This window comes from Homo sapiens, chromosome 6 (assembly GCF_000001405.40).
Source record: "Homo sapiens chromosome 6, GRCh38.p14 Primary Assembly".
In the NCBI taxonomy this organism is placed as follows: Eukaryota; Metazoa; Chordata; class Mammalia; order Primates; family Hominidae; genus Homo; species Homo sapiens.
The window spans coordinates 65,715,471-65,736,379 of NC_000006.12; the positions used below are offsets into that span (position 1 = coordinate 65,715,471).

The 20,909-nt window shown below is 34.9% G+C and overlaps 3 annotated features.

Annotated features, from left to right (window-relative positions):
• Positions 7,664-7,833: an enhancer, noted in NCBI's record as "experimental_93502 CRE fragment used in MPRA reporter constructs". NCBI's record gives its function as "activates a minimal promoter by MPRAs in K562 erythroleukemia cells, with activity observed for both the introgressed and non-introgressed 6:66433112 variant alleles {active_cell/tissue: K562}" and the evidence as "EXISTENCE:reporter gene assay evidence [ECO:0000049][PMID:34662402]".
• Positions 17,540-17,709: an enhancer, noted in NCBI's record as "experimental_93582 CRE fragment used in MPRA reporter constructs". NCBI's record gives its function as "activates a minimal promoter by MPRAs in K562 erythroleukemia cells, with activity observed for the non-introgressed 6:66442988 or rs2636121 variant allele {active_cell/tissue: K562}" and the evidence as "EXISTENCE:reporter gene assay evidence [ECO:0000049][PMID:34662402]".
• Position 17,625: a transcriptional cis regulatory region, noted in NCBI's record as "Neanderthal adaptively introgressed variant 6:66442988 (GRCh37/hg19 assembly coordinates) or rs2636121 in the experimental_93582 CRE". NCBI's record gives its function as "modulates activity of the experimental_93582 enhancer by MPRAs in K562 erythroleukemia cells {active_cell/tissue: K562}" and the evidence as "EXISTENCE:reporter gene assay evidence [ECO:0000049][PMID:34662402]".

The following is a 20,909-nucleotide window of genomic DNA, read 5'->3' on the forward strand; positions in this document are numbered from 1 at the left end:
ATATACAAACATTATCATATTTGTATACAAATGGAACCTAATGAAGTGGGTATTTTCTCCCATTGTTCAAATGAATGTCAGGAAAATTAAGCAGAATGTGTAAAGATCACAAAACTTTTGATTCATTCTCAGAAACTGTAGGCTTCAAAATCCGTACACTTCCTACTGAACTATATCACTTCCAAGACAAGGTAGGAATCCACTTCCAGATTCCTTAACAGAGCTACTTCATTATCTGGCCTCAAATCTTGTTTCAGTTTTATTTTCTACTCATCTTCACATACTATATTATTCTTAAGTAAAACTGACCAATTTATATCACATTCTGGAAAAGACAAAACTGTAGCAACAGAAAATAGAGGGGTTAACTACCAACAGATGAGGGAAACTTTTTGAGGTCTTGGAAATGCTCTATATCTAGATTGGGCGGTGTTTGTGCAACTATATGTGTTTGTCAAAACTTGTGTACTATACACTAAAGATGATAAATTTTTCTGGATATAAATTATAACTTGATAAATACTTTTTAAAGCTGCCTAAAACATCATTGTATTCGCCAGGGTTCTCCAGAGAAACAGAACCATAGAAGGAGCTCTCTCTATATATATATTTACATATACACACACACACACACACACACACACACATATACACACACACAGTATATATATACACACATGTATATACACATATATATACACACATATATACACACACACATGTACATATATAGTACAGTACCATATAGACAGATAATGTTTTATATATGTGAGATATATATATATACACACACACATGCACACACACACTGAGCGTAATAAATATACTCAAAAGAGTTTTATTCTGTTCTCTCACTTGATTGTAACAGTCAACACAGAAGACTTCTGTGACCAAATGTACACGGGTTTCTCTTCACCACCAAGCAATCAATTCTGCGGTGGACACCAACTGGGTGACCTCCAATTCAATTCTGACACTATATACCTAAAGACAGCATCAGATCCCACCGGTTGAGAGTTCAGTTTCACAAAACTGCCCTTCACCCTCTTCCCCACTTCACACACCAGTAACAAGGCTGGGCCTCCAGATCTTCTGACCAATAAGCTTCAAGTTGGGGTTCCCACAACCCTCTCTTTGGCTTCAATTAATTTGCTGCAATGGCTGACAGAGCTCAGGGAAACATTTATGTTTATCAGTTTATTATGAAGGGTATTACAAAGGATACAGATAAAGAAATGATTAGAGTAAGTTATCAGGAAATAGGTGAAGAGCTTTCATGACCTCACTCAGTGTACCACCCTCCAGAAACTGCCACATGTTCAGCTGTCCAGAAGCTCTCCAAACCCAGGTTTGGGAGTTTTATGGAAGCTTCATCACATAAGCATGATTGACAACCATGTAGAAATGTGATTGGAAAAAAGAGGTGTGATCTAACACTAATAGACCACATGGGGAAACCCAGCAAGGCCTCTCTGTTCAGATTTTTCTTCATCTCTCTGTGCAGCACTCATTCATCCAGAATATGGGGCAGGATGCCTTCTGAGATGAGGGGCTTAAGATTACATTCCTGCCTTTGGCAGATGAAAGTGAGGCCCCTACACAGAGTCCTTACTGGGGCACTGCCTACTGGAGCTGTGAGAAGAGGGCCACCATCCTCCAGACCCCAGAATGGTAGATCCACTCACAGCTTCCACGGTGTGCCTGAAAAAGCCAGACACTCAATGCCAACCCATGAAAGCAGCTGAGAAAGGAGACAGACCCTGCAAAAGCCACAAGGATGAAGCTGCCCAAGGCTGTGGGAGCATACCTCTTGCATCAGTGTGACCTGGGCATGAGACATGGTATCAAAGGAGATCATTTTGGAGCTCTAAGATTTAACTGCACTGCTGGATTTCAGACTTGCATGGGGCCTGCAGCCTCTTTTTTGGCCAATTTCTCCCATTTGGAATGGCTGTATTTACCCAATGCCTGTACCATCACTGAACCTAGGAAGTATCTAACTAGCTTTTAATTTTTCAGGCTCATAGGCAGAAGGGACTTGCCTTGTCCAGGTGAAACTTTGGACTGTGGACTTTTGAGTTAATGCTGAAATGAGTTAAGATCTTGGAGGACTGTTGGGAAGGAATGATTTGTTTTGAAATGTGAGGACATGACATTTGGGAGGAGCCTGAGGTGCCATGATATGGTTTGGCTGTGTCCCCACCCAAATCTAATCTTGAATTTCTATGTGTTGTGGGAGGGACCTGGTGGGAGGTAACTGAATCATGGGGGCAGGTCTTTTTCATACTGTTCTTGTGATAGTGAATAAGTCTCACAAGATTTGATGGTTTTAAAAAGGGGAGTTTCCCTGCACAAGCTCTTTTCTCTTGTCTGCCACCATGTGAGACATGCCTTTTACTTTGCACCATGATTGTGATGCCTCCCTAGCCATGTGGAACTGTAAGCCTATTAAAACTCTTTCTTTTGTAAATTGCCCAGTCTCAGGTATATCTTTACCAGCAGCATGAAAACAAACTAATACAACTGCAAAGCCACCCTCCTTTTTAATTAGTTAAATTTTACATTTTCTAGGTCTAGACTTAGAATTACTGACTTCAACATTTGAAAATAACAATGATTCATTATCCATATATTAATAATCATGGCATTAAGAAGGATAATTTCAATAAAAATGCTATGACTAATTAAACCTCTCATTAATACCAGAAATAATTTGAAAAATTTTAAGTGTATTAAAAAGAAAAACAATAAGCAAAGGGTCAAGAGAAAAGAAAGAGAAGGACAAATAAAATGAATATTTTTGAGTACCTAATTTTTGTCACGCCTGATGTTAGCATTTTCACATAATATACAACTGTATTCTCACAATAGCAACTTTACAAAGTAAGTACAGTTATGCACCACATAATAAAATTTCAGTCAACAATATACTGCATATACAACGGTGATCTCATAAGTTTATAATGGAGCTAAAAAATTTAAATTACCTAGTGGCATCTTGGTGATTTTGATTCTGTGTAAGCCTAGACTAATGTGTGTGTTTCTTAGTTTTAAACAAAAATTTAAAAAGTAAAAATATATTAAAAATTAAAATTAGAGAAAAACATATAGAATAAGTATATGGAGAAATAAAACATTTTTGTATAACTGTACAATGTGTTTGTTTTAAGCTAAGTGTTGTTACCAGAGTCAAAAAGTTAAAAAAGAATTTAAAAGTTTATAAAGTAAAAATGTTACAGTAAGTTGAGGTTAATTTATTATTTAAAAAATCTTTTAAATTTACTGTAGTATAAGTATACAGTGTTTATAAAGTCTATAGTAGTGTACAATAATGTCCTAGGCCTTCACATTCACTCACCACACATTCACTGATTCACCCAGGGCAACTGCCAGTCCTATGAGTGCCGTTTATGGTAAGTGCCCTATACAGGTGTACTGTATTTTATATTTTATGCAATATTTTCAGTGTACTTTTTCATTTTTAGATAGGTGTTGGTAGACAAATAATTTATCATTGTGTTACAGTTGCCTACAATATTCATTATAGTAACATGTTGTACAGTTTTATAGCCTGTATTTATCAGATTCACATACACACTATTAAAATTGTGATTAGTTACACTGATATGGTTTGGTTCTGTGTCTCCACCCAAATCTCATCTTGAATTGTAATCCTCAAAATGCCCAAGTGTAGAGGGAGGAACCTGGTGGGAGGTGATTGGATCACGGGTACAGTTTCCCCCATACTGTTCTTGTTTTAGTGAGTTCTCACAAGATCTGATGGTTTCATGAGTTTGACAGTTCCTCCTTTAAACACTCTCTCTCTCTCTCCCTCCTGCGACCATGTGAGATGTGCCTACTTCCCCTTCTGCCATGATTGTATGTTTCCTGAGGCCTCCCTAGTCATGAGAAACTGTGTCAATTAAACCTCTTTCCTTTATAAATTATCGAGTCTTGGGCATTTCTTTACAGAAGTGTGAGAACAGACTATTACATACACCAATAATAAGCATGCATTTACATGGTGGTTTAGAAGTAAATAAAATTCATCTACAAATTAATTGTCTGTCAAATAAATGGGTAAACTTTAGAGGACATAAGTTTTATTATCTTCATATGGGAAATTGAGAGCTGTTTTAATAAGTGTGCATTTTTGGCATTTTCAGTAAAAAGGTTGTGACATCTTAACCTGATCATCCTTTCAGAGAAATAGAATGTCAGGGCAACATACCTAATAAACTTTTACTAAAGCTTCCATGTTGCCAAGAAAAACAACTATTTTACTTACTAAAAGAGAGTTACAGATTACTAATTAATGCAATGATTTAAATTAAAATTAAGCCAAAGTTGAAGTTTTAATAAACACAGTCTAAAAAACTGATTGATCAAGTTTTAGTAATTGCAAATTGCACCTTTTTTTATTACTTGTATATTCCACTACAGAATTTCATACTCAAATTCCAGTATCATTTTTATAAAGAAGTTAATTGACTGTACGCATGTCCTACTAAATATTAAGAATATATTTTTATTGTATTTAGGCAAAGTATATAGTGTTATCCATATTTTTGAAAACACATGATGTTCAATGCTTAAGTTAACTCTGACATCAAAAATGAGAATTATTCATTTAAATATTGTTACATTAATATTTTGCTTTGAGCATAAAAATAAGTATTAGGCAATTGCAACAACAAAAACTAATTTTTTAACAACATCGGTATTACTTGGGGGTACATACAAATAATACAAATCATAAATAAATGATTTTTTGCTGATTTAGAATGTACTGCTGTTTTTGTCATATGTAAATTTGGTCTTAGCTTTTTATTTCAAAAACAAATGCCAAAATCAGGGTTGTTTACATTTTTTATTTGAAATTGTGAATCAATTGCTTACCTATGAGAATAGTAAAAAAAAGGTTAAGAAAATTTCCACACAGAATGCAATACAGATATTTGTATAAGAATGGGTATTAAGCAGACAGATGAATGAACATTTCAAGTGAAATGATTTGATAAAGGCTTTTAAAAATAGACAATATTTGAAAGGTCCCTGTGAAATTTCACTGGAATTTATACACACACACACACACACACACACACACACACTTCTATGAAATAGTTTCCAAGTTTAATTATTTTCAGGCTTTTTGTTAAGATAACTTTTGAAAGATATCTGTTTTCTATTACTCTCTACCTATACACAGGAATAGCTATAGCTAGTAGTCATAATGATTAAACTTCAACAAAGATAAAACTGCATTATTTTTAGAACTAGATATCTAATAGTCATTCACTAATCTTAGTATAACATATTCATATATGTAATTGGAAACAAAATGTCTGTTGCCTCTGGGTACTAAGTTTCTTCAAAGTATTGCTATAACCATCTTCTTTTTTGTTTTATTATTATTATTTTAAATTTAACTTTTATTTTAAGTTCAGGCATACAAATGCAGGTTTGTTACATAGGTAACCTTGTGTCATGGAATTTGTTTTACAGATTATTTCATCATCCAGATATTAACCCTAGTACCCATTAGTTACTTTTCTTAATCCTCTCCCTCCTCCCACCCTCAACCTGCTGATCAACCCCAGTGTGTGTTGTTCCCCTCTATGTGTCCACGTGTTCTCATCATTTAGCTTGCACTTATAAATGAGAACATGTGGAATTTGGTTTTCCATTGCTACGCTAGTTTGCTAAGGATAATGGCCTCCAGATCATCCTTGTCCCTGCAAAGGACATGATCTTGTTCTTTTTTATGGCTGAATAGTACTCCATTGTATACATGTACCACATTTTCTTTATCCAGTGTATCATTGATGGGCATTTAGGTTGATTCCATGTCTTTGGTATTGTGACTAGTGATACAAAACATATGCGTTTATGTATCTTTATGATAGAATGATTTATATTCCTTTGGGTATATACCCAGTAATGGGATTGCTGGGTGGAATGGTATTTCTGTCTTTAGGTCTTTAAGGAATCACCATACTGACTTCCAAAATGGTTGAATTAATTTACACTCCCACCAACAGTGTATAAGTGTTTAATTTACACTCCCACCAACAGTGTATAAGTGTTCCTTTTTCTCTGTAATCTCACCAGTGTCTGTGTTTTTTTGACTTTGTAGCAATAGCCATTCTGACTGGTATAAGATGGTATCCCTCTTCTTTAGTAGTTAATTAAGACAACATGAATCCTCATATATTGAGAGAACAAGTATATTCCATAATTTATTCTTGGATTGTTGGGAGTGAGTCTACTATGATTCCTTATGTCTTTCTCCTGTAATCTTTAGCCTTTCACTTCCACCAAGTTCTGCATCTCTGCTCTTGACTCCTATTGGTGTTACATTTCCAGACAATATTGATCAGCAATAGATGTTACCCCAACTCCTGACTTTTCAAAATACCATTAAAATGAGGCTGTGGTATTTGTGGAATATTTTACTGACGATTTAAGGAAAATGATGAAAACTGATAGTATTGTACTGTATAAACAGCAACTCAGACCTGAATATTAGCCATTATTAAACTACACTTAATTAACCATTTACTACCATGAAATATTTCTTACTATAGCCTGCACTTGAAGCAACTGCTCCTGTCTCCTGCTTTACCCTTTACCACATTTTTAACTGTTCATAGATTATAAATTTTTCCTATATTTCTATGAAAAAAAGATTTTATTTTATCTACAGGCATCTAACTTAAGCCTTTTAGTATCTTCTACTTTCATTGGCAAACAGGAATTTTGTTAATTTTTTTCTATTTTTCTTACTCATTTTTTCTTACTATTTCAATTTCCTAGATAATATCAGTGAGTTGTGTTTGTCTTAAGTAGTTTACTGCCTTTTATATAATAAAATCCTTCTGAGCTGTATTAAATTTAATTCACTAAAAGCTAAGTAGTTATTCTAGACCTAAATTTTGAAAAGTGGGTATTCAAGTCAATGATGTTAAATATTTTATGTTAACTAGCCCAGATTCTCAAGTTTTGAGAATGACTTCACTGAGGAGATCATATATTTTTCATTCAGGTAATGATGACTAAGAGAAAGTTGTACTTAATAAAATTTACTTCACTGAGATAATACTTTAATGTATCTTATGTGTGACACTTTCTATAAGTATACTAAGATTGCAAGTACAAAATAAATGCTCTGCATTAAATATTGATCAAAGTATATTTCTATAAAAATGATAAAGGTAAGTTAAACATTATATTCATTCATAAAAATATCTTATTTCTAAAAATCATTGAAAAACTTTGTTTTATTTGGTCACATTATACTGTAAAGTATTGAATCACAGACATCTTGGTGGTCATAAGCGCCATCGACAGTTAAGGCTCATTACTCCAGTATTAATGGAGTAACTACTCTATTATAAGTATTTTTAGACCAGGCATAGTGGCTCATGCCTGTAATTCCAGCACTTCGGGAGGCCGAAGTGGGCAGATCACCTGAGGTCAGGAGTTCAAGACCAGTCTGGTCAACATGGTGAAACCCCATCTCTACTAAAAACATAAAAAGTAGCTGGGCATGGTGGCGCATGCTTATAGTCCCAGCTACTGGGGAGGCTGAGGCAGGAGAATCACTTGAATCTGGGAGGTGGAGGTTGCAGTAAGCCAAGATCGTGCCACCTCACTCCAGCCTGGGTGACAAAGCAAGATTGTCTCAAAAAAAAAATAAATAAGTATTTTTACTTATTAATATAAAAGGGAAATAATTAGAAGTATCTGTCTATTTTCATTGGAACAGGTTTTTTTTCTTTAATGAGAAATATGTGTTAAATAAAATTTTAGGTTCCTTTGGACTCTAGCCAGAATGCATTTATTTGCAATTTCCCAGCCATGCAAATACAAACCATATTCACAAGATCCTGAGGAAACTTTTTAATTTTTACTTCGAATACTTCCTTCTACCAAAAATAGAGACAACTTCTATCCTTTGTATCAAAAAATATGAAGTTTATATTTTCCTATTGTGTCAGGAATGTAATTAATTACACAGCTAGTTGTGTAATCTTCTTGATAAACTACAGATTCTCTACGAAACATAAACAGAAAAGTCAACAAGGATTTAATTAGACAATAATACTGAGAAAATTATTAAGCATCTTAAGTGAGTCCTGTTTATCTGTGAACTCATTCTTCATCCCCTTTTGTGATTTATTTTTACCATCCCAAGCCATCTCCCCGTTGTTGTCCTTGTGTAGCCTTGAGGTTGTTCCTAGTTATGCGTTCCCCTACTGAGGCACATGCATCCCAAGCAATTCTTCATACTCCAAATCTGTCTTTCTTTCTTTGCCTACATTAAAGCTAACAATAATAGGGCTTAGGTTAACAAAGCTTAACTTGTGTGCAACTAATTAATTATAGAAAAGTTTTTTCATAGCCAGATATGTATATATGTGCATAGGAGGATCTTTATTATTGGACTTCTTAGTACATTTTAATTTTAACAAAACATGCAATGAATTTGCCGAAATCTTGCAAAATAACAGCCTTGAAAAATGTAATAGGGATAACAGAATACCATTGCTAAGTTATTTCAGTTTTCCCATCTATATATGTGTCTTTATATTTAATTTTACCTTATCAGGAACAGTTCAGTTAAAACTTGTTTTTAGTATATTTTGGTGATTTTTAATGATATCATGAATACTTTCTTTTCTTTAATGGATAATCTGATAGTACAGTAAATACTGTTTAAACATCAGAACACAAATTATTTAAGGTAGAACTATTTGCACAAGTTGTTTCCATTACAATTTAATTCAAAAAGGTTCTCTGAACAAAGGTAAATTAACACGCAATATTTACAGGCAGAATAGCCTGAATATACGCCTAATTTTAGTTTCAAGCAGGTTCTTCTGCTCTTGTCATAGATTCAGAAATTGAATTGTGTTTATCACTGTCATGCAGATGTGATGTACATTTATTTTTCTACTCTTCAGTGATATATAGGATAAATCATCGGGGCTACTGAAATGTCTGTTAGATATTAAATCACTGATGTCAGCTGCCAAGTCATCTCACTTAACTCAAAAGGAAAAACTCTGGCTCCTGACTTTTTTGTGTGTATTTTTGCTTCTTTAGCTAGTACCAACTAAATACCAACTGCCTGTATGTCCAAGGTGAGGAATACTATTTGTAAGGCACTGAGACTCATTAACTCATTATCACTTAGGCTATACATTACAGTTATGCATTCCTTCATTTCTTGAACTTAAAATGTTAAAGCCTGCAAGTCTCTCTTAAAACCCAAATTAATGTAATTTTTGTCTACCACCTGAATAGGTCTAATATATATGGTAATTTGGCTCAAACTAGTTGACAGAATTCATGTCAAGTTAAAATAATAAGAATGAATTTCACAATTAAATTTCCCCATTGACTACTTTAAATTTTAAATGCATTGATTTAAAATTACTTCATTACTTAGAGATACCTTATGCCCAGACTAACGTAATTTATGTACTATACTTCCAATATGCTTTGGTATACATTGACATTTAAAGACACAAATCTTTTAAAGTTGTACTCATAAGTTGCACGTATGAATATACTGTCAAGGCACTTCTCTTTTAAGATCAATTTCTCTTGGTTTTCATTTTTTCAGGGATTTAAATTTAGTTTTTAATGATTCTTGGAACATTTTTTATCTTACTGAAAACAATAAAGACTTCTGAACTTTGTTTCTCCAGAAATTTTAGACATTAATTTTTGACTACATTGATGCTGTTTTAGAAAATGTATTTTACACACCCACACACCCACATGCTCACACACATTCACTTTTTCCTTTTCTTTAGATTATTATGTTAAACTCCACAACAAAATTGCATTTTATCAACTATCTGTAAACTGTGCTATAGCTTTATATACCTATGCCAAAGCAAAACTTGCCCCCAAATTAGAGTGTTAAGGAAGGAAAATTAAAGTGTTAAGGAAGACTTTAGGCTATTTAAATACAGGAGAGACACCAGAATATAGTTTAATTCAGTTCTCCTAAAACTAAAGGAAGGAAGGTTTTTAATTTCTGGAGCGAATAGTGAGAAAGACTAGAGAATTTTGAGGGGGGACCAATGGAATGTGTGGACTGCCTTGAGTTATTCCTGAGTTTGCAAATGTTTTTCTCTGTGATTAGGGCATCGGTGCTCGCTAATCGGTGCCACCAGAGATTAGACAATTACCCTCCTTCAGAAACTGGGAAATAGGGCACAATCTTCTTTGGAGATTTCAAAGGGATGACTTTCAGGTCGTATAACAAGACATTCCTAGGTCATAAAACTGGCAAAAGGCTTTTAAGAAGATTTACTCCCAAAGAGGCAGATAAATAATTTACAGTTACAAGTTTTCTAAAGTAAATGCTCAAAGAAAAGGGACATCAGGGCCTAGAGTCAGAAAGAAATGCTTTTGAAGCATAGTCAAGTTAAGGGGAACACTAAGGTTGCCTTGGACAAATATAAAAAAAAGATTGTGATGGAATTCATCCTTATTTTATATTTTTGAGTAACTATTTCTCAGGTATAGAATTTTCAACTATGTCATGTAACTATTTTGCCTTACCCAATAACATATAAATTTCACAAAACAGAATTTGCTTCATTATATATTTTAAGCCCCTAGAATAATCTCTAACACATACTTAGATTTCAATAAATGTCTATCGAATAGATGAATTAATTAGAAACAATTTTTTATTATACTTTAAGTTCTGGGATACAGGGGCAGAACGTGCAGGTTTGTTACATAGGTACACACGTGCCATGGTGGTTTGCTGCACCCATCAACCTGTCATCTACATTAGGTATTTCTCCTAATGCTATATCTCCTCTAGCCCCCCCACCCCCTGACAGGCCCTGGTGTGTGATTTTCCCCTCCCTGTGTCCATGTATTCTCTTTGTTCAACTCCCACTTACGAGTGAGAACATGTGGTGTTTGATTTTCTGTTCCTGTGTTAGTATGCTGAGAATGATGGCTTCCAGCTTCATCCATGTCCCTGCAAAGGACATGAGCTCATCCTTTCTTTTTATGGCTGCATAGTATTCCATGGTGTTTATGTGCCACCTTTTCTTTATCCAGTCTATCATTGATGGGCATTTGGGTTGGTTCCAAGCCTTTGCTATTGTGAATAGTGCTGCAGTAAACATACGTGTGCATGTGTCTTTATAGTAGAATAATGTGTAATCATTTGGGTATATACCCAGTAATGGGATTGCTGGGTCAAATGGTATTTCTGGTTCTGTATCCTTAAGGAATCGCCATACTGTTTTCCACAATGGTTGAACTAATTTATACACCCACCAATAGTGTAAAAGCATTCCTACATCTCCACATTCTCTCCAGCATCTGTTGTTTCCTGACTTTTTAATGATCGCCATTCTAAATGGCATGAGATGGCATCTCATTGTGGTTTTGATTTGCATTTCTCTAATGACCAGGGATGATAAACTTCTTTTCATATGTTTGTTGGCCACATAAATGTCTTCTTTTGAGAAGTGTCTATTCATATCCTTTGCCCACTTTTTGATGGGATTTTTTTTTTCTTGTAAATTTGTTTAAGTTCCTTGTAGATTCTGGATATTATCCCTTTGTCAGATGGATAGATTGCAAAAATTTTCTCCCATTCTGTAGGTTGCCTGCTCACTCTAATGATAGTTTCTTTTGCTGTGCATAAGCTCTTTACTTTAATTAGATCCCGTTTGTCAATTTTGGCTTCAGTTGCCATTGCTTTTGATGTTTTGGTCATGAAGTCTCTGCCCATGCCTATGTCCTGAATGGTATTGCCTAGGTTTTCTTCTAAGGTTTTTATGGTTGTACGTCTTGCTTTTAAGTCTTTACTCCATCTCGAGTTAATTTTTGTGTAAGGTGTAAGGAAGGGGTCCAGTTTCAGTTTTCCGCATATGGCTAGAAACAATTTTATTCCAAATATTTTTGTAATTAAAAGAAACAAAAGACTTTGCAATTGTTCTCTGAGGGATGATATAGCCATTCAAGGTAATTTGTGCCACTAACACATGACTTTCATACTAAATAGTCAAGCAAAGTAAAGGCATTCAAAAATAGAAGAGTGACAGGACAAATAGAGGGTATTGCAGAATTTGTGAATAATATTGAATGTCAAAGTGTTATATCAGAACCCTAAAACAGTCTTATTTGTCTTCTCCATTTCAATTTTTCCTTATGCTATTTCCCACCAGACAGGAAGGATTATATCTTTAAAACTGAACTCTGGCCATATCATCTCCTGATTAAAATCCTTGAGACACACACACAAACACACATACACACACACACACACACACACACACAGAGCAAGATACTAATCTAAGCACTTCACATTCATTAACTCAAATATTCCTCAAAGCAAGCCTATGAAGTAGATGCTTATTATCCCCATATTTACAGGTGAGAAATCTGAGGTACAGAAAAGATAAATAACTTCCCCAAAGTTCAAATATCTAGTAAGTGTTACAAGCTAGGTTCTATTCACCAAGTCTGGTTTCAGTCCATGACCTTATCCCCTCTTCAAGCTGAATCTAATATCCCCATCTTGGCCTACACAGCTCCCCCTGACCTAGCCCCTGCCTAAGTTTCTGTCTATATCTCATTCAGTTCTTCCTCTTGTCTAGTGTGCTCCAGCCACTCCAGATTCCTCACCTTGCCACCTAAAGGGCTTAATGCTCTCCAACCACCCTTCTGCCCTGTACATGTTTTGGAGGCCTTCTCATTCATTAAGTCTCAGCCTAAGTATCTTCCCTTATCTCCTTATCCAAATACCTACTGAACTCCTCGTATCATTACTGCTCTCCCCTTCTTCTATCCATTTTCTTCATTCATCTTATCACAACTTGTAATTATATATTTGTTTATTTATTTATTTACTCTGATTCTTCTCTAGACTTTAAGCTCCATAAATACAGGAGACACGTCACCAACGTCTGCCTGGTTCTTAGCATTGTAGGACTTCAATAAATATTTATTCATTAAAGAAATAAAATATGTTTATAATTACAAGAAAATTTGTCAAGGTGTATTAATACATTCAAAAGTTATGTAAACTTAATCAGCAACAGTAGCAGGTTTTATTTTGTTTTCAATAAGACTACATTAGTCTGAAGGTACAGTTGAGGTTTTACAAAAAGCAATAAATATTTTCTAATATAGCATAGTAGCAACAGACTTCATTTAGTTCGAATTCTACCTCCAAAATGGTGGGGTTGAGAAAGGTAAATTCAGAATTTTCACATCCTCGTGGTCTCTTAGTTTCCATTGTACTTAGATAGAGTCCAGCAGCTTCTAAGTAGCTGGAGGCCTCCTACCACTGATGCTGGCACTACCAAGGACAAATGCCACATTGATATGACCCTGATGCCACCAAGACAAAGCTTCTCCAGGGCTGTTATTCTCACTTAGGCTACTGACTCACGATTGCTGTCTTATGTATCAGTGCCTGCACTGCTGTCTTAGGGATTCACTACTTCAGGCCCAGTTTATCTGCAACTTTAATATTCCCACTCCCCCTCCTTTGACAGTGAAACAGCAGCTGCTTTTACTCTTTTGTACTCTGGACCCTATAAAAAACCTTCCTGATCAGTTCAATAATTCAGGCCAGACAATATCTCACTGTAGCCCAAGGTTGTTTTTGTAGATCTTTTTGTTCTCCTTCTTCTGAAGGATTGACAGGAAGCAAATTGATCCTCTTGCTTTTTTCCCCATGGAGTAGAACTGAGTGAGTTCTAGAAAGGGAGGCTCAGCCTGGGGATAGCATACCCACTGCTGGGCGCCTGCCTCCTTCCCACCCCTTCGTCTGGATGGCTCCTTAACCCAGAGGAGTTAAGGAAGTTAAGCTGGCAAGTTTAAACTCTATTCTTTCTCTCTTGAAGTCTTTTGTTGCACAACCATAAACTAAATGTTCTGAGATTTTGACACTAATCATAACCTGGAAGATTTAAAGCTTCCTGAAAGAGATGAGGCTTAAGAAAAGGAAAGCCAAAGGGGAGGACGTCATTCTGAGCACAGACAATGACAAATTTTGAAATTAAAAAAAATGAGTGCACGTTATACTCATGTTATTAGAGCAGAGGTGGAAGAAAAATGAGGTAAACATAATGGGATCAAGTGAAGTGGGTGCATTTACCTTACCATAACTTACCAAACTCCATAAGGAGTTTGGATTTATGGATACAGTTTTACAAGAATTAAAGATTTTTAACAAGAGTTAAAGATGGCCGGGCGTGGTGGCTCATGCCTGTAATCCCAGCACTTTGGGAGGCCAAGGCAGGTGGATCACTAGAGGTCAGGAGTTCAAGACCAGCCTGACCATCATGGTGAAACCCTGTCTCTACTAAAAATATAAAAATTAGCTGGGTGTGGTGGTGGGTGCCTGTAATCTCAGCTACTCGGGAGGCAGATGCACGAGAGTTGCTTGAATCCAGGAGGCAGAGGTTGCAGTGAGCCAAGATCACACCACTTGACTCCAGCTTGGGTGACAGAGTGAAACTCCGTCTCAAAAAAAAAAAAAAAAAAAAAAAAAAACGGCTTTGCAATCAGACAGCTTCAGTTTGGATTTTGATTCCATGGCTTATTAGCTTTGTGACTTTGTCAAGACACTTAACCTTTATAAGGTTCAGTGTGTTCATATTGGTAATATTATAATATACACCTCAGATTGATATAAACATACATCAAAGCACTTATTGGGTTGTAAGTAGCAAAGCACACAAAGAGGCACCACTCCCTTTGTGCTCGCCACCACTGTTACCATTATCAGTGTTATTTAATCCAAAGAACAACTATATTCAGCCAAATAGGAGGGGGCACTCATGAGAAAGTCTCCAGTTTTACAATGTATTACATAGCAGATATTCAATAACCATTTAACAAGGAAACAAAAGTTATAGCATGTAGAGTAGGCTACTTGGGGAAAGTTTTGATAAGAAGACGACATCTATAATGTGATCTACAGTATTTTAAAAGCATGCACAGAATGTTGTGCTAAGCAACATAGCAACAGGCATTCATATCATTTTCTGTCTAATCCCTTGCTAGATGAGTGATGGATTAGAATTCAAATATGGCTGAAGACGGTCATTCCTGGCTACTTATTGTTTCTATATTCAGCAGTTAAAAGGTTAAAGCATTGTCCAAAAAAGCCAAAAACACCTAGCAGTATTGTCTCACTCTATCCAGTATTTTCAGTAAAGAAACTTTTGAATTGAGAAAAAATTTGAGAATCTACACATTTTTAAATGAAGACAATTAGTATTAAGACCTTACGAGCTTCACATTTTACAGAGTAAACCTAAATAAGCTAAAGTTGGCTTTTCTTAAACACCAAGATCCAAAAATTGTTGAGGAAGGGCTTCTCTTGTTTTTTGGTTTTAAATATACTGTGTAGGAGAGACAAGTGAAAGCACCTCAGAAGCTGCGTGGCCTGGAGAGTGGCACTTAAGTGTTGCCTATATCACTTCTCCAGGTCTCCTCTGCTAGAGATCTTTAGTTCAAAGGCAGACAAATGAGGTTACAATGCGCTTAGAGCTCCCCTGAAAGAATGCCCAATTTTACTATTTGTAGAGCTTTATGACCTCTCTATCAACAGGTAATTTTTCAGGGTTCCATTTAGGGGATAGGACTCATGGACAATATTTGACTCCATGACTGTAATAAAATAACAAGCATAAAGTTTACCTAAAAATATTTGAGTATTACTTTATTTAACAAAACAAAACTTCTAAGCTGAGTGTGAGTGACCTCTGTATATTCTCTTTTGGTCCCCATGAACTTGAAGTATTATGTATGTCAGGTAACAGAGGATGTCTGTCTAAAAGGGGAAAATGATTTTTATTTCCCGGTAGGAAATTCAGTTTGAACTGCCAAAATTTCCTAAAAGCTCAAAAGGAAACCCCATACAAAATCGATTTAAAACCATAGTAACACTCATAATGAAAAGATTATACTGGATCTAGGGTACTCCAACGAGCATTCCCACATGTGCTGTGCTGTATAGTACAAGCCTGGCCTTCTATGCCTGGGCCTTTTCAGACCACCTTATTTTAAATTCCCTGGACCTACTTTTCTATCCATTTTTTGTCACTGAACCTTTCTTTCTTGGATCCTACTGTCTTGGCTTCTCCTCGCGCAGTCTTATAATAGCTTATGCTTGATAACATGTTGCATTAAACAACAATAAAATGTAAGAGCATTATTGGATTGCTGTCTCTGCTGGGATGTTGCCTCTGAATAGCCTTTTGCAGCCATAGTGCTTGTTCTTTGAGACTCATTTACTGGTATTATGTATTTCAAATTTAGGTAATCAAAGATCACCATTACTCTATCTGTATGTGGAGATTAATTTTTTAAGATTAATATTGACATATAGGTATATATAGCTAAATGTAGACTCATCACTCACCTAACTTTGACCTCTAAGTAAATAAAAGTAATATATTTTGTTTTAATCTCTAGTCAGAAAATTGAAGTTGAAAATTCACCATACAAGAGTAGAGATTCAGAGCAACTGCATTTGATCAAGACTTTCAAGTGCTGAACTCAATCTTCCTCTCTTACTAATTTTGTGATCATTAATACCTCAAACTCTCTGTGACCCAGTTCTCTCACCTGAGAAAATAGGGATAAGAAAAACAAAAATAATAATCACTTTGAAGGGATAATATAAAAAATCTCAGAAGCATGCTTGTCACACAGTAGATACTCAAGAAATATAAACTATTATCATAAACAGAAATTACATCATTGGAGGCTGATAGGTACAGCTTTACTAACAAAGAGACCCTGCAAAAGTAGTCCTATTCATTTGACTTAGTATGAGTATTCATTCATACAGTGTTTCAGGTGCCATGCTATATGCTGAGATAGTAAATTGTTGTAGGAATGGCACAGTTCTGCCAAAAAGGTATGACAACTACTAGGAGGGGTGGCAGATATATAAACAGAAATTTTTAAGTGAGATTGACAGAGCACTTACAATGATCTGAGTTTTCAGGGAAGGTTTAATGAAGGGAATGTTACTTGAAATAAGTAATGAAGAATGAAAATTGGCAAGATAAATGAAGTAAGGGGGACTCTTCCAGGAAGAGAAAGTCACAAGCAAAGATCCAGTCGATAAAAAGTGGTATGTAAATGAACAGCATAAAGTTCAGTATTACTGGAGCAGATATCAGTGTAAATGTACACACAAAAAGAAATAGTGGTCAGGTTGTACACTCATTATATTAGTCAGTTTAGGCTGTTATAACAAAATTATCGTCTCAGAGTTTTGGAGGCTGGGAAATCAAAAATTAAGGGAATGATAGGTCTGGTGTTTGGTGAGAGCTTGCTTTCTGGCTTGTAGACCCCTCTAATACCTTCTTAAATACCTCTATACGAGAGCAAAACAAGAGGCAATGTTATGTCTCTATTTATAAGGGCAATAATCCCATCATGAGGCCCCACCCGCATGACTCAATTATCTCTCAAATATCTGACTTTCTAATACCATGTAATTAGGGGTTAAATACTAACGTATGTGTTTTAGGGGAAACCAAACATGCAATGCTTAACAAGTATTGATTTTCAGTTTTTTTTAAAAAAAAAACTCAAACTTTCTTCTTGTGAAAACTTGGTTTAACTCTACATAGTGGCAAATAAATTGTTCTGAAAGAGATATGATGAGATCTGAACAAAAGCAGTGGAAATAGAAATAAAGTGAAAAACATTAAACATTAAAAGAAATATTCAGAAAACATTTCTGTCAGAATGTATTATGCTATGGATACATGGAAAAAGAATATGAGATTTCATAGTTTAGCATTCTAGTTTACGTTGTGCATAAACAGTTATACCTCTATAACACATTATTAGAAGCAATCTAAGAAAGTTATGGATTCTGAACTCTGCAATGTGGTCTATGCAAAAGAAATTTGTGTATAAGTGTCTGAAAATTGAAGACAAAGACAAAAATAGAGACATTTGAAAATCTTTAAGAGTTAAAATAAATGCAGTGGAAAGAACTGTCAAGATTAGTATGCAGAGAGAAAAGCACCGGGGCAGGATCAAACAGAAAACCACAAAGTCCAAAGAAGAACATATTTAATTTACACAAAGGATGATAAGAACAGATGATCAGAACAGTAAAAAGAAACCCGGTGAAGGAAGATCAAAGATAGAACAGAAATTAATACAAAGTAGGTACGAACAGAGTCCAACACATCAAAGAATTTCAGCAAAATAAGGAGACTAAAATTTACCCATTAGATTTTGCAATTGGAAAGAAATTGGTGGGGCTGACCAGGAAGAATTAGTAATTAGTGGCAGGAGAAGACATGTGCTGGACTGATGTAGAAGGAGACACGGGTGAAGGCCAAATAAACTCATAGTATACAAACTGAGCTTTTATGAAACTTGGCTAATAATGAGAAGGAATGTATAAAAATATTTTGACAAAGGGGAATAAGAAAGACTTGATTATGTTTATTGACAAATAGTTAAGTTCATGGAGAGATACTGTAAGACAATAGATGAGATAACTGATGGAAGAAGCTCTTGGAGAAACAGGAAATAAGATTTTCCTCAGATAGAAGGAAAGGCTGTTTGTTCTATGAGATATAAGAATATTATAGATTTAGAAAAGTATGAAGGATCAAAGAATGGGTGTTTCCTCAAGGGGATAAAACAGATGATATGGTGGAATAATAGAGAAGCAAAAATATAGGGAGATGTGTCCTTTCCCTAGTGCATATTTTTGTTGAATTTGTCAAAGATCAGTTGATTATAGATGTGTGGCTTCATTTCTGGTTCTCTATTGTGCTCCATTTATCTACGTGTCTACTTTTATACCAGCACCATGCTATTTTGGTTGCCATAGCTTCGTATTATAATTTGAGGTCAGGTAATGTGATTCCTCCAGTGTTGTTAATTTTGATTACGATTGCTTTGACTATTCAGGCTCTTTTATCAGTTCCATATGAATTTTAGGATTGTTCTCTCAAATTCTGTGAAAAATGACATTGGTATTTTGATAGAGATTGTATTGAATGTGTATATTGCTTTGGGCAATACAGTCATTTTAACAGATATGAGTTCTTCAGATCCATTAGCATGAAATGTTTTTCCATTTGTTTGTATCATCTAAAATTTATTTCATCTTTGTTTTGTGATTTTCTTTGTAGAGATCTTTTATTTCTTTTGTTCAATACATTCCAGAGTATTTTATTAATTTTTAAAGCTATTATAAATGGTATTGTCTTCTTGATTTTGTTTTCAGCTTGATGTTTCTTCTATGCCAAGTTCATTGAGTTTTCTATCATGAAGGAAATGCTGTATTTTATCCAGTGTATTTTCTGTACCTATGAGATAATCACATGGTTTTTGTTTTTAACGTCAGTTTATGTGATGAATCACATTTATTGATTTGTATATACTGAACCATCCTTGCATCACTGGAATAAAACCCACTCAGTCAGGGTGTATTATCTTTTCAATGTGATTTTTAGATTTTGTTTGCTAGTATTTTGTTGAGAAATTTTGGAAAATTGGGTTGTCATATGCAGAAGAATAAAACTGGCCCCTATCTCTCACCATATAAAAAATCAACAGAAGATGAGTTAAAAACTTAAATGTGAGACCTGAAACGATAAAATACTACAAGAAAACTTAGGGGAAACACCTCTGGACATTGGTTTAGGAAATGAGTTCATGGCTAAGAACTAAAAGGCATCAGCAACAAAAATAAAAATAGACCAATGGGACTTATTTAAACCAAAAAGCTTCTGCACTGCAAAATAAAAATATAAATAGACAAATGGGACTTAGTTAAACTAAAAAGCTTTTGCACCACAAATAATAATTATTATCATTATAATTATCATTAATCATTATTATTATAAACAAAGTAAAGGGATAGCCTGCTGAGTGGGAGAAAATATTTGCAAACTCTGCATCTGACATAGGACTAATATCCAGAATTTACAGGTAACTCAACAACAATAAAAACACAAATAAACCCATTAAAAAGTGGGCAATGGACATAAATAGACATTTTTCAAAAGAAGATATACAGATTGCCAACAAGCATATGAAAAACAATGCTCAACATTACTCATTATCAGAGAAATGCAAATCAAAACCACAATGTGATGTAATCTTCTCCTGGACAGAATGGCTATTGTCAAAAGTCAAAAAATAAAAGATACTGGTGAGGATAATGAGGAAAGGGAACACTTAAACACTGTTGATGGGAATGTAAATTAGTGCAATATCCATGGAAAGCAGAAAGGAAAATATATCAACATATTAAAACTATATCTGCACTTATACGTTTATTGCAGCACTCTTCACAATAGTAAAGATAGAGAATCAATCTAAGCATCTATCAACAAATGACTGGATAAATAAAATGTGGTACATATACAGAATAAAACACTATTCAGCCATAAAAAGAATAAAATCATGTCTTTTGCAGCAATACGGATGGAACTAAAGGGTATTATCTTAAATGAAACAACTCTGAACCAGAATTTCAAATACCCCATGTTCCTATTTCTAAGTGGGAGCTAAATAATGTATTCACATGGAAATAGAGTCTAGAATAATAGTCCAAAGGAGAACCAGAAGGGTGGGAGAGTGAGGGTGTTGAGGAATGAGAAATTACCTAATGAATACAATGTACATTCTTTGGATGATGGTTACACTAAAAGCCCAGACTTCACCATCACACAAAACATGGAACAAAACTCGACTTGTACCCCTTAAATTTACATCAATGAAAAGCATACAGGAAGGTATTACCAAGAGTAAAATACCAGAATTTAACACAGCAGAATGAATTGGGAGAATAAAAAACCAACAATCAAAATTGTGAGGTTGTCAAGAAGTCTGTGAAACAGGTTTTATTT